This window comes from Homo sapiens, chromosome 3, assembly GCF_000001405.40.
Source record: "Homo sapiens chromosome 3, GRCh38.p14 Primary Assembly".
Classification (NCBI taxonomy): Eukaryota; Metazoa; Chordata; class Mammalia; order Primates; family Hominidae; genus Homo; species Homo sapiens.
Genome location: NC_000003.12, coordinates 165,771,005 through 165,785,528, shown reverse-complemented (window position 1 = coordinate 165,785,528; position 14,524 = coordinate 165,771,005). Strand labels below are relative to the sequence as shown.

General features: G+C 32.5%; 1 protein-coding gene across 3 annotated transcripts in view; it reads left to right on the top strand.

Annotated features, from left to right (window-relative positions):
- The window catches only part of BCHE (butyrylcholinesterase), a 64,520-nt gene extending 51,895 nt beyond the window's left edge, over positions 1 to 12,625 (top strand). For 2 of the 3 annotated variants that reach the window (NR_137635.2, NM_000055.4), the window contains one exon: positions 12,023 to 12,625. Coding sequence is in view for 1 of the 3 variants with exons in the window: in NM_000055.4 (NP_000046.1) it covers positions 12,023 to 12,147 (125 nt within the window). In the remaining 2 variants the exon portion in view is untranslated. Of the gene's footprint in view, positions 1 to 7,733; positions 7,813 to 12,022 lie in introns of all 3 variants that reach the window. The other variant, NR_137636.2, reaches the window with a different exon arrangement.

Sequence of the window (14,524 nt, the reverse complement as noted above, 5' to 3'; positions counted from 1 at the left end):
GAAATGGGTAAGGAAATACGATGAAAATTTGTTCAGATTATTATCTCAATATTCATTATTAAGAAAATATTTCAATCCACTTGAGTGATCAAACATGTGTCACCTTAGTTTGATCTTCTCTGACAAATATGACATATATCCAACTCACTGTCTAGATTTTAAAATTTCAGCTGTTTATAATCCATGTGGTTCCTTAAGTATACTTTCTGAAAGTAATTGATTTTCAGCCATCAGACATATTGCTGGTCAGGTCCTTCAGAGTTTGCTATTCTGCTCATCATGACGATCTGTAATTTTCAGGCTGTATATTTGGTATCATAATACAGTAGATGTTTTCCATTTCTTGTTTAGATAAGTTGTGGGCTAGTTTCAGCAAATATGGGCATCTCAGAGCTGTATTTGATTGCTTAATATGCCTTTTGATTATCAGACATTACTCACAAAAATTATAATTATGTACTCCATCTGCTTGGGAAATGTTTCTGATATACCAGTGCTCTGTGTATTACCAAATGTTCTGTGACATAATATATAACCAGGGATGGGATTCTGCTTCTCTTGGCAGAGCAACAGTGCCATCCTTTTGTCCTCCGGGTGTAAATAACGATGAGGTAACTCATTAATATGCCAAGAGACCCAAAGAGATACTATCATTTATCATATCACATACTATATATTATTAATCTTTATTTAAAATATTTTTATATGAGAGGGTTATAATTTGAGATATAATGAGTGGGTTATTTTAAGTGACTTATTTATTATAAGCCAAGCTGAGCCCTTCTGGTTAAATCATGTGTGATCTATTGCAATTTATGCGATGATACAATAAAATTTGAATATCAGCATTTTAAAAAACTATCCTTCACAAATTTCTATTTCCAAATACTTACCTGCCAGAAAGCAGATTAAATAAACAAACTCCAAAGTTTTTGCCAGCTGCTGCTATTTCCCATACAATGTTGAACAAATTCCTAGCTTGTGTAACGCTGAGCTCTATGGAAATACCTACCTAGCTGTGGTCTAGGACCATGCTTAAGGTTAGGTTCAGTGTGTCTTGAAAATATAATTTTGTATTATACCATTTTTTCTAATTAATTCCCCCATAATAAGGTTTTCATATTAGATATATTTTATAATTTTGAAGTAAATGCACGATACAATTATTGTAACATGTATTCACTAGTAATAAAAATGTTACATTTGAACAAAATCAGTTTGAAGTTACAAGGATTTAGGTTTTATAAATAAATAGTGTGGACAGATTAAAAAGATTAAGGGCCCATGTTCTTGCCATATCTTATATTTTTCAAGTCACAAAACTTCAAATATTTTAATCTTTAATGTTTTGAGAATGCGTTAGTCAGATGACCTGGGCTAAAGTTTTTGGAATTTTTTTTAAAGCAACTTTATACCTAAAGAAAAATTTCAAAGAATAACTACTAGCTGGCTTTCTTAAAAGGAAAAATGTTTACCTTACTCAAGATGGAAGCCCAATAAGCTTTGTAAGTACCACCTCAGCAATAGTTTACGTTTGAGCAATAAATGTTCTCAAATAAAATGATTCTTGAAACTTGTTTAAACACACAAATTCTAACACTTAACTTTCAGACCATACTTCAGCACATGGCTATGCTGTTATTGCATGCACCTGCAAGAAATAAAATTCACAATATTTATTTCAAATGTTATCAAATTCAGATTTCCACAAGGATACAACTATTCAATATTACAATATCATAACTATTTGAAAAAAGAAAAAGAAGTAGAAAAATGACCCACTGTCAAGGATAATAATATTTTTTCACTAAAAGTGGAAGAGTAAATTTATTTAAAGAACAGAAGTCCTTCATATTATCCTAATGAAGAAAAAAAGTTAGATCCAATAATTCCTCCATTGACCTTTGAATAAATCATGCTTGCCAACACTAAAAAGCACGTGTAAATTTAAGGGCCAAAATACCCTTTGAACTGGTTACTTTGAAAATCATTTACTACTATTTGCTAATCAGTTAGCAAGACTGGCAGTCAAGGATGAGGGAGTGCAAAGGTGATTTGGAGAAAATGTTGAAACTAGTTTATTGTCTTAATATGCCTGAATTATCAATTCCTCATTAAAAGCAAAACAAAACAAATAAACAAGTGGCTTCGAATAACTTAATAATCAAGTTAAATTAACTGTTCCACTTTAAACTACATGAAGTCTTCACAAAGCCTAGCCTAAGTTTATACTAGTTCACTCTATGTTCTTACCCCATGCTCAAAATTACGACAGAACAATTAATGATTGAGATTTATTGCATAAAGAAATATGCATTCCATGATAAGTTTAATAACTGATCAAAAACAGAAAAATAATAATGTGATGGAGACAGATTTTCAGTGAACACTCAAATACATGAAGAATGTTGTTGTTTCTTAATTATGATGGCAGACTTAATTAAATATCAGTATAATCTCTCCTATCTTCACCTCCACTAGCAATTGTGGGTTAATTCACCTTTGCATTCTCTTCTGCTAGGGTCTGAATGTTTGTGTCCCCCTAAAATTCATATGTTGACATCCTAACCACTAAGGTGCTGGTATTAGAAGGTGAATCGTTGCGGGAGGTGATGAGTTCATGGAGAAAAAGCCTGTTTAAAAGGGATTAATGCTTTAAAAAAAAAATCCTGAGGGAACTCCCCCATTCTTCCATGTGAGAACATAGCAATGAGACTGCCATCTATGAACCAGAAAGCAGGTCCTCATCAGACAACAGTCTACGTTGCTTGATCTTAGATGGAAGTATAATCTGCTGGAAAGCCTCCTCAATTGTGAAAAATAAATTGCTGTTGTATATAAGCTATCCAGTGTATGATGTTTTGTTATGGCAGTCTGAATGGACTAAAATATTTTCTAATTCCTTAGACTTTGTTAAATAGACTTAGCTCTGGTGAAAATTTACTCAGTGTCCTTTTTGGCTAGACAAAAAACAACAACCACACACAAAAAACTTATCATTATTATTTTCATAGAAGAGAAAACGATTTTTTTTCCAAATGTGACAATACATGCAAAACAAAGATCACAAAGAAGTGAACTCAAAAAGTTATGCCAATGTGTTTATAAATTTACCGTTTCACAAATTGCCTTCCACGACTATTCCCTTCTCTTTACCCTGTGAGGCATTAAACAAAAAATTGATTCCCATCTTTTCTATCTCCCCAAAACCCACACACAAAGCAAGTTGTCTCTGTTTTACAATCACAACAAGACTTGGTGACATTTGAAATAATCTTAAAGTACTAAAATCATTCATATTACTGAGTTGGTTAAAAAGGATATTATTATTGATTTAAAATTGGGCATAGAAAGCTGAAGAATAAAAATATAACAAATTAATAGGTCATAGGTATCAAGGTGAATATATATATGTGATATATTCATGTTTATGTAGAGAGCCTCTAACCTCTTATTAGATTTATGTCCTATTAATATGCTTTGAAAATTTATACTAAAATTGCTAGCCTAGGTATAAAGTACTATCATTTTTCCAAGGAATACTCAGGTCAACAATATGAGTTGTTACATTTACTTATGCATATTGTATCATACAAATTCACATTTTCTGTGTGTGTTTATCATTCATCCATTAGGCAATTATTTTTAGAAAATAAAAACTTTATTATTTATTATTTTTCATACCACATAAAAATTTATAATCTGCCAGATTTTAACTGTTTTATGTATATTGAGCCATTTGGTCTTTTGCAGAATTTTCTTTATTTTTTTATTTTACTTTAAGTGCTGCGATACATGTGTAGAACGTGCAGGTTTGTTACATAGGTATACGTGTGTCATGGCGGCTTGTTGAGCCTATCAACACGTCATCTAGGTTTTAAGCCCCGCATGCACTAGCTATATGTCCTAATGCTCTCCCTCCCCTCACCCTCCACCCCCGACTGGCCCCAGTGTGTACTGTTCCCCTCCCTGTGTCCATGTGTTCTCATTGTTCAGCTCCCACTTATGAGTGAGAACATGCAGTATTCGGTTTTCTGTTCCTGTGTTAGTTGTGTTAGTTTGCTGATGATGGTGGCTTCCATCTTCATCCATGTCCCTGCAAAGGACATTATCTCATACTTTTTTATGACTTCATAGTATTCCATGGTATATATGTGCCACATTTTCTTTATCCAGTCTATCACTGATAGGCTTTTGGGTTGGTTTCATGTCTTTGCTGTTGTAAATAGTGCTGCAATAAACATACATGTGCATGGGCTTTATTTATTTATTTTTTTGAGGTGAAGTTTCACTCTTGTTGCCTAGGCTGGAGTGCAATGACGTGATCTTGGCTCACCACAACCTCCATTTCCTGGGTTCAAGCGATGTTCCTGCCTCAGCCTCCTGAGTAGCTGGGATTAGCTGGGATTACAAGCATATGCCACCACGCCTGGCTAATTTTGTATTTTTAGTATAGACAGGGTTTCTCCATGTTGGTCAGGCTGATCTCGAACCCCTGACCTCAGGTGATCCACCTACCTCGGCCTCCCAAAGTGCAGGGATTAAATGTGTGAGCCACTGCACCTAGTTGTGCATGGGTTTTTATAGTTGCATAATTTATATTCCTTTGGGTATACACCCAGTAATGGGATTGCTGGGTCAAATGATATTTCTGGTTCCAGATCCTTGAGGCATTGCCACACTGTCTTCCACAATGGTTGAACTAATTTATATTCCCACCAATAGCGTAAAAGGATTCCTATTTCTCCACAGCCTCACCAGCATCTATTGTTTCTTGACTTTATAATAATTGCCTTTCTGACTGGTGTGAGATGGTATCTCATTGTGGTTTTGATTTTTATTTCTCCAATGATCAGTGATGTTGAGCTTTTTTTCATACATTTGTTGGCCACATAAATGTCTTCTTTTGAGAAGTGTCTGTTCGTATTATGTGCCCACTTTTTGATGGGGTTGTTTGCTTTTCTCTTATAAATTTGTTTAAATTCCTTGTAGATTCTGGATATTAGAACTTTGTCAGATGGATAGATTGCAGAAATGTTCTCTCATTCTGTAGGTTGCCTGTTCACTCTGATGATAGTTTATTTTGCTGTGCAAAAGCTCTTTAGTTTAATTATACCCTATTTGTCAATTTTGGCTTTGGCTGCAATTGCTTTTGACATTTTCGTCATGAAGTCTTTGTCCATGCCTTGTTCCTGAATGGTACTGCTTAGATTTTCTTCTAGAATTGTTATTTTTTGAGGTTTTACCATCAAGTCTTTAATCCATCTTGAGTTAATCTTTGTATAAAGTGTAAGGAAGGAGTCCAGTTTCAGTTTTCTGCATATGGCTAACCAGTTTTCCCAGCACCATTTATTAGATAGGGAATCTTTTCCCCATTCTTGATTTTTCAGGTTTGTCAAAGAACAAATGGTTGTCGATGTATGATGTTATTTCTGAGATTTCTGTTTTGTGTCATTGGTCTATATGTCTCTTTTGGTAGTAATACCATGCTGTTTTGGTTACTATAGCCTTGTAGTATAGTTTGAAGTCAGGTAGCATGATACCTACAGCTTTCTTCTTTTTGCTTAAGATTGTTTTTGCTATGCAGGCTCTTTTTTGGTTACATATTAAATTTAAAGTAGATTTTTCTAATTCTGTGAAGAAAGTCAATAGTAGTTTATGGGAATAGCATTGAATCTATAAATTAATTTGGGCAGTATGGCCATTTTCACAATATTGATTCTTCCTATCCATGAGGATGAAATGTTTTTCCATTTGTTTATGTACTCTTAGTTCATTGAGCAATGGTTTGTAGTTCTCCTTGAAGAGGTCTTTAACATCCTTTGTTAGCTGTGTTCCTACATAGTTTATTCTCTTTGTAGCAATTGTGAATGGAGTTCATTCATGATTTGGCTCTCTGCTTGTCTATTATTGGTGTATAGGAATGCTTGTGATTTCTGCACATTGATTTTGTACACTGAGACTGCTGAATTTGCTTATCAGCTTCAGGAGGTTTTGGGCTAAGACGATGGGGTTTCCTAAACATAGAATCATGTTGTCTACGAACAAAGACAACTTGACTTCCTTTCTTTTTATTTGAATACCCTTTCTTTCTCTTGTCTGATTGCCCTGGCCAGAACTCCCAATACTATGTTGAATAGGAGTGAGAGACGGCATCCTTGTCTTGTGCCGGTTTTCAAAGGGAATGCTTCCAGCTTTTGCCCATTTAATATGATATTGGCTATGGGTTTGTCATAAATAGCTCTTATTATTTTGAGATATGTTCCATCAATACCTAGTTTATTGAGAATTTTTAACATGAGGTGATGTTGAATTTCATTGAAGGCCATTTCCCTTGCAGAATTTTCAAACAGTTTCTTTTCCTACAGAGTGGAAAATGTACTTGCATCCGTAGTACGAGATTAATATGTTGTCAAAATTACAATCAGTATGAGTAATGCTGGTATAATCCCCTCTCCAAAACACCACTTAACATTTTTGTTAAAGCCAACATAAGTATTTTGTGGGTGGGGAGGGTGACTGGTTTGCAAAATGTTTATTAATGAAAATTAATGTGAAATATTCCTAATAGCAATTACCCACAAAAATATAAAAAATGGAAAGAGAAAAAAAATTATAAATAGACATTTGTGGTGGTTTTAAATGGGTTATCTTTCCTAGGTAGTTGACAGTTAACTAGTTTCTGAATGTTTTCTGGACATCTTATCAGATGTATAACAAGATACCTAATAGAAATATAATTTATCTTTTAAAAAGTCTTTTTTGTCAACTAATTTGATAACATTTACAGAGCCTATATGCTGCTACTGTGAGCCAGGAACTGCACTAGCAGCTAGAGCTGCACAGATGAAAATGACAGGGTCTGCTTACTCACAGTGAAGTGGAGTCAGGGCCCAGGACCATGGAAAGCTTTTAAGAAGAGAAGATACCTGCACTGAATCTCAATGTGAAGGCAAAGTGGAGAGAAGCCAGATAAGCAGGAACCAGAGATGAAGTGTCTTGTGCATCATGCTAAAGAATTTAAATTATATTCTGAGTAAAGCCATTTAGTAATTTTAAATGAGAAACTGATATGTTCTGGTTATTGATTCATAAATGTATAATCTTTTACTATATTCACGAGTTATTCTTTTTTACCTTTGTCTTCTTAGAGTCTAGATTGTAAGAATATTATATGGCATCAACATAATAATTTCATTTCTGAGGTAGGGTCTTTCTTCCAAATAGCTGCTTTTGTTTGCTGGTTCATTCGCATCAGGAATATATTCACTTCTCTTATATTTATTTTATTTTATTTATGCTTTAAAAATTATTGTAAACTGGCTTTTTCTTGTTTTAGTGTAAAAGTATTTACTAGTAAATTTGCCTCTGAATGCAAATTTGGAAATATCATCTATGTTTGCATAAACAGTTGACTCTGGAAAAACAATCTGGGGGTTAGGGGCACCAACCCCTGCACAGTTGAAAATCTGCCTGTAACTCTTGAATCCCCCAAAATTTAACTACTGATTAAGTTGACTAATTAAGCCTACTTGACTGGACCTTACCAATAATGTAAACATTTGATTAACATATTTTATGAATAATATTTTTATTATATGCTATATTATTATAATAAAGTAAGCTAGTGTAAAGAAAATGAAAATCATAAGAGAGAAAATATATTTACTACTTATTGAGTGGAAGTTGATCATCACAAAGGTTTTCATACTTGTCATCTTCACATTGAGTAGGCTGAGGAGTAGGAGGAGGGGAAAAGGAGCTGTTGGTCTCGCTGTCTCTGGATTGACAGAGGTGGAAGAAAATCCACATGTAAGTGGACTTGTGCAGTTCAGACTCATGTTGTTCAAGGTCAACTGTGTGTATATTTTTTACCTTTTCTTTTAAACATTTGTACTTGCAAATTTGCTTTGCCCCTGCACACAGAGATTTGCTTTGGAGAAACTTGTTTTTAATATCTCTATACATATGTGTACGTTATAAATATTCACAAACTATCTTAAGTATTAGATAATCTTTTTAGTTGATATGTCTATTTGATCATTCGAAATCTTGACATAAATTTTTATTTTGTAAACATAGATTATACAGTTCCCTATTTTACATATTTATATATTTATTAAATACAAATTTAATAAGCTTTATTGGGGTGATAACTAATGTAACACATTATTTTTAACACATTATTTTTCTTTGGCAAAAAGTAAATTATCTGTCTCTAAGGTTACATATGTTTTAAATCAACTGTATTCTTACTACATAGTTATATGAATAAGGTCCTCAATGTCCTTATTTATTTCTGCTCTATTTTTATTTAAGAAATAATAAAGTTGCATGAAATTCTACAAGAATGAAGATATTTCTCTGAAAAATAGTTACGAGAATTGTAAGCTTTATTAATATTGAGGATTTAAAATCCTATTAATATATACTTATTTACTCATTTATTTTTTGGCCTTGATTTTTACCATGCCTGCTATACATTTGCCAACTCTATTTTTTTCTTTTATTTACATTTCTGCTATATATTTGCCCTTGTCCTTTTATCTTCACTTCTCTATATTACCGTATTTTACATGTATTATTTAAATGCCATCAGCTGAGGTCAATGGATAAATACTATGTGACCTATTGTTGATATTATGAATTAAGACACTTTTTATACATATTATTATATAGTATGATCATTGTAGTATGAATAAAGAGGACTTTATATTTACTCTCTACATAAGAATCTGGAAAGGTCAATCGATTCATTTTTCTTTATAAAATATAATTAAAACCATAATATATTATGGTAGTCTTTCCATTATGTTCACAGTGTCCAAAACACAAAATGTTACCACTATAAAGAAGAAAAAATAATAATAAAACTCTTTCTACAAGTTAGGGTTCTTTATTTCTAAAATTAATTTTTATCTTGTTTAAAGAAAACGTCACATCAATATTTGACCTGTGAATTTAGTATCAAGCCTCCACTTTCTTTTTCTCTTTTCTACACATTTCCTTTTCTTCTCTCATTCAGAATTTGATTATTTTTTCCCTTTCTCATAAAAAATATTTACACTTAGAGAATGACAATCAACATTGCTATTATCATTATATTTGTGGACTTTCAGACACCATGAGGCATGAAAAGAAACATTGGTGGCAGCATTATTCTTTCTTTGTATCTCTGAATTCATACAAAATATATATTGATCCCCTTCACAATAAGTACATTGAGTTAGAAGCCTGCATTTTGGTTGAGGTTACAATTCTAAGAAACTTACATTGTTTGAGCATTATGACTGTTCTACAATATAATTATGTTTTAATTAATCAATTGTAAAGCAAATACATTGCCTACCATAAAGGTCTTTATCCTCTCAAATTTTAAATAAGTTAAAATTTGCTAATCAAGTTTAATCCTTGTTTATAATGTGCCAGCCCTAAATTTTTTATTATGATGTTCCAGCCACTTAAGTTACATGGTTTTTAATCATGAATATTGCTGATGTTGATAATAATGTGAAAATTGACTTGTGACTAGATTTTGTCTTCTTAGTAATAAACAAGCCAATATGAAATAAGAAGACAAAGAAAGAGAGGCGGACTAAGAAAAGAAGGAGAGGAAAGAGGAAAACGTTTAATTTTGATTTTGATTTACTTCAAACTCAATATTTTATTTACTCATTACGGTGTATTCACTTTCTCTGGATTTCATTAGGAAATAATTAAATGTTTCATATTTTATTGTCTCAATCAATGCCCCCTATTTCTAAAGCAGATTTAGATTTATAGAGCATTTGTGAACTAAAAAGCATTTCAAAATACTAAATTGTATAGACATTTGATAAGACACATAGGAAAAAATGTAAATTTATGTAAATCAGTGATTTTGGTATTATTCCATGAATAAAAAAGGAAAATCAGATCTAGGACTCTTTCTATAAGGATTAAAATTCATGGTCTAAATTTTAAATTACCAAAAATTTATTTATCAAGAAAAATTTTTTCTGGAATTTAGAGTTTTTATTTTATATAAGTAAGATTTAAAACAACATTTTGTTATTTTTTAAAAGACCATAAAAATGGATAATTTGGTATGATATTTAACATCTTTCTTCCACATCTAATCTTTTTTGACCCTTTATAGAAGTTCTATTATTCACCAAAAAATTGTGATTATAGTGACTGATCTTTTTAAAAGCCATTTTTACATGAAAGTGAAACACTTTATGTAAACTTTCAAATATTTTTCCAATGTCCAAGCATTGTGAACATTTCAAACCTAAATATATCCTAAATTACAAGGGATATTGTAATGTCTGCAAAAAGGTTTAAATATTTTTATTTTTGTACTAGCTTAAAATTAGTCACTAAATTTTCTCCTCCAAAGTAATATCTTACAAAGTTTAATTAATTTCAAAGATTTCTAACTGAAAAGTATATATTAAAAGAGTTGCCAGCCCCTATTTTCAGTATACATGAAATTACTTAAAATTTTTTGTTAGTTTAATGACTGTAGCTTAGCATTCTAAAAGTTTAAAAAGAAAACCACAGTTATATATATTGCTTATTATGCCTTTATACCAGGAACAAAAATATGTGTCTTAAAACATTGTAATTTAATAGTTTTTACTGTTCACAATCTGTATTTTTTAACAATACACTTCCAAATAAATCAGAATTTCAAAGTTCTTGAAGTATATAGACCATTAGTGGTTCACTGCCTCACGCTATTCCTACCTACACACCCCTTTCTCCTAACACATGCATATACTTTGCAAACTACTTGAAAGCAGGAATTATCTGAATCATCTTTCTATTTTACAACACAATTAATAAACTGCTTTCAAGGTAAGTGGCTGAAACAATGACTTAATGTTGTTTCCCATTAAAATGTATTGGCCAGGGATGGTGGTTCATGACTATTCCCAGCACTTTGGGAGGCTGAGGCAGGTGGATCACCTGAGGTCAGGAGGTCGAGACCAGCCTGGCCAACCAACATGGTGAAACCCCATCTCTACCAAAAGTACAAAAATTAGCCAAACATGGTGGTGCACGCGCCTGTAATCCCAGCTACTCGGGAGTCTGAGGAGGGAGAATCTCTTGAACCCAGGAGGCAGAGGTTGCGGTGAGCCAAGATGGCGCCATTGCACTCCAGCCTGGGTGGCAAGAGTGAACTCTGTCTCAAAAAAAAATAAATAAATAAAATAAAACATTGTATTATAATAAGGGTAAAATCTATGTGGAATGATAATTAAAAAGTTATCCTTATGCATTAATAAATACAGTATGACCTTTGTATTTGCGGGTTACACATCCATGGATTTAACCAACCACGAGTCAAAAACATTTGATAAATAAATACATCTATACTAAACATATACAGACCTTTTTTTCTTATCATTATTCCTTAAACAATATAATATAATAAACATTTACACAGCACTTTCATTATATTAGGTATGAATTATCTAGGGATGTGCATGGCTTATGTGAAAATGTTATGCTATTTTACATTAGGGACTTGAGTATGAGAGGATTTTGGTATCCCTGAGAGGTCCTAGAACCAACTCCCCACAAATACTAAGGATGACTGTAGTCATATATAATTTTCATCAGAAATAATTATCTGTTATATAACTATATATGTAAATGAGACCATTAAATGAAATTTGTGTTATTTTAAAGTGGGTCAAGAAAAGAGCATAATATCTACATATCCTCTTGAAAACTAAAGAAAATATATGTAATGTAATTATACATAATACAATATATAAACTCATTTTCCATTTTATATGTTATACGTTATATAAATTATATATACATTATTTGCATTTTCACATAATCTGTAAAGATTTTATTAAAATCTCTTTTCAGGCAAAGCGAGCTAATAACAAATAATAAAGAATAAATAAAGAAAATAATGCTGTACTGTGTAGTTAGAGAAAATGGCTTTTGTATTCGAAATTATTTTTCAGTTAATGAAACAGATAAAAATTTTGATTAATACAACTTATTCCATATTTTACAGGAAATATTGATGAAGCAGAATGGGAGTGGAAAGCAGGATTCCATCGCTGGAACAATTACATGATGGACTGGAAAAATCAATTTAACGATTACACTAGCAAGAAAGAAAGTTGTGTGGGTCTCTAATTAATAGATTTACCCTTTATAGAACATATTTTCCTTTAGATCAAGGCAAAAATATCAGGAGCTTTTTTACACACCTACTAAAAAAGTTATTATGTAGCTGAAACAAAAATGCCAGAAGGATAATATTGATTCCTCACATCTTTAACTTAGTATTTTACCTAGCATTTCAAAACCCAAATGGCTAGAACGTGTTTAATTAAATTTCACAATATAAAGTTCTACAGTTAATTATGTGCATATTAAAACAATGGCCTGGTTCAATTTCTTTCTTTCCTTAATAAATTTAAGTTTTTCCCCCCAAAATTATCAGTGCTCTGCTTTTAGTCACGTGTATTTTCATTACCACTCGTAAAAAGGTATCTTTTTTAAATGAATTAAATATTGAAACACTGTACACCATAGTTTACAATATTATGTTTCCTAATTAAAATAAGAATTGAATGTCAATATGAGATATTAAAATAAGCACAGAAAATCATTGGTCTCTTTGTTTTTTATATAAAGGCAAGAAAGAATCTTAAAATGAGAGGCTCAGCCACTTTAAAACACCTTATAATAGAAACAGAATGCTGCTACCAAGAAACAAAATATAAAATAATGTAATTATTTATGTAATGCCTTCAAATTATATTCTTCATTTGACTCTTGCTCTCCCTCACCTCCTCTATCCTCAAATCACCACAAACATGTACATATGTGAATTACCTTTCCGTAATTCAAAAATTTTTAAAAAGTGGGTGCATAGAAGTCTAAAGTTAGGTTGTGTACCATCTGGGACAGGGCAACCCTTGCCTGGACCCAGAAATATTAACATATTAATAGGAAAATTGTTCAATTCCAGAAGAGAAATGGTTGTACTTTCTGTAGACAAACTGTCTTATTTTTGCAATTAAAAAAATTACAGAGCTGCATTTATTAGCATGCTTGGCAAGGGAGCACATGCCATTGAATAAATTCACTGAGTAGTTTACTAAAGGAGAGAAGTCAGAGTATTTTAAGTTCCAAAACAAAGGAGTGTATATTGTTTATGCTAATTAAGCATTGAAAATTTGCCTTCAGGATAGGACAAATTGAATGTGTAGGTCTGTGTACTGATGGTTAAAGCATGCCCTATTGTTTCTTTGTTTTTTTGTTTTGTTTTGTTTTGTTTTGTTTTTTTGAGACGGAGTCTCCCTCTGTCGCCCAGGCTGGAGTGCAATGGTACAATCTCAGCTCACTGCAACTTCTGCCTCCCAGGTTCAAGCAATTCTCCTGCCTCAGCCTCCCAAATAGCTGGGATTACAGGTGTGTGCCACCACGCCAGGCTAATTTTTGTATTTTTAGTAGAGAAGGTGTTTCACCATGTTGGCCATGGTGGTCTCAAACTCCTGACCTCAAGTTATCCACCGGCCTTGACCTCCCAAAGTGCTGGGATTACAGGCATGAGCCACTGTGCCTGGCTGCAAGCCCCATTGTTTATTGGTCAAAAAGTGTCTATAGTTAGATACAGTATGGGTCTGCCATCTTCACTCAGTCACTCAAAGTTCATGGTACCCTAGATACAGTTATAATAAGAGCCAAGTCAGTGTTTATATTACTTATGAGTTATTGTAAATAAAGATAAAGATATTTGCTTTATAGCTTCTCCCTCATTCTGAGAAAAAACAACCACACACAGGATAGATGGGTTATTATACTCACCATCTTTGTTTCAGGTGTCATTCTTTCTGGATTCCACTATGTTTTTCTCAATCATTTAAGTCTCCTTTTGATGTAGAATACTCTGATATATAAAACAGGATGACACCTGTTCAACACCATTAAAGATGCTTTAAAAATATACTTGTTAAGATTAATCATTAGGAAAACAACAAATGTTCATAGAACATCTGTAAACTGCTTGATATGACAAGTCCTAGTCATAGGAAAAGATCCTGTGAACTACTTTGTCCCATCTTGGACAACCAATTGGTGTGCTCTTGAATTATATCTAGACATTCCTTGACTTATTGTAATGCATTTAGCCAAATGCAACAAGAAGTGTTAGCCAGCACATAAACCTCTGCCTGTTTGTTCTATAAAAATCTAACATGAATCTACTTTTCCCAGCACTGTTGCAGAAATCTAGGTTAAGATTATAACAACAACAACAACAAACCCACAAAAAAGTTGCCTAACAGAATCTATGTGAATTTCTTTACTGATATCACCACGTAAAGGTCAGTTTAGAGGGAGGATTCTAATACAGGGACTCCCAAGTGATGGTAGAAACATGGAAGTCAGTATCTTTGGCTTCTCCTTGGTACTTCAGTGGGCACATAGACGACAAGAAGTTTGGTGAATTTAAACATTAACAGTGTGTAAGTATTAAAACACCAAATGGAATAAAACCCTTCCT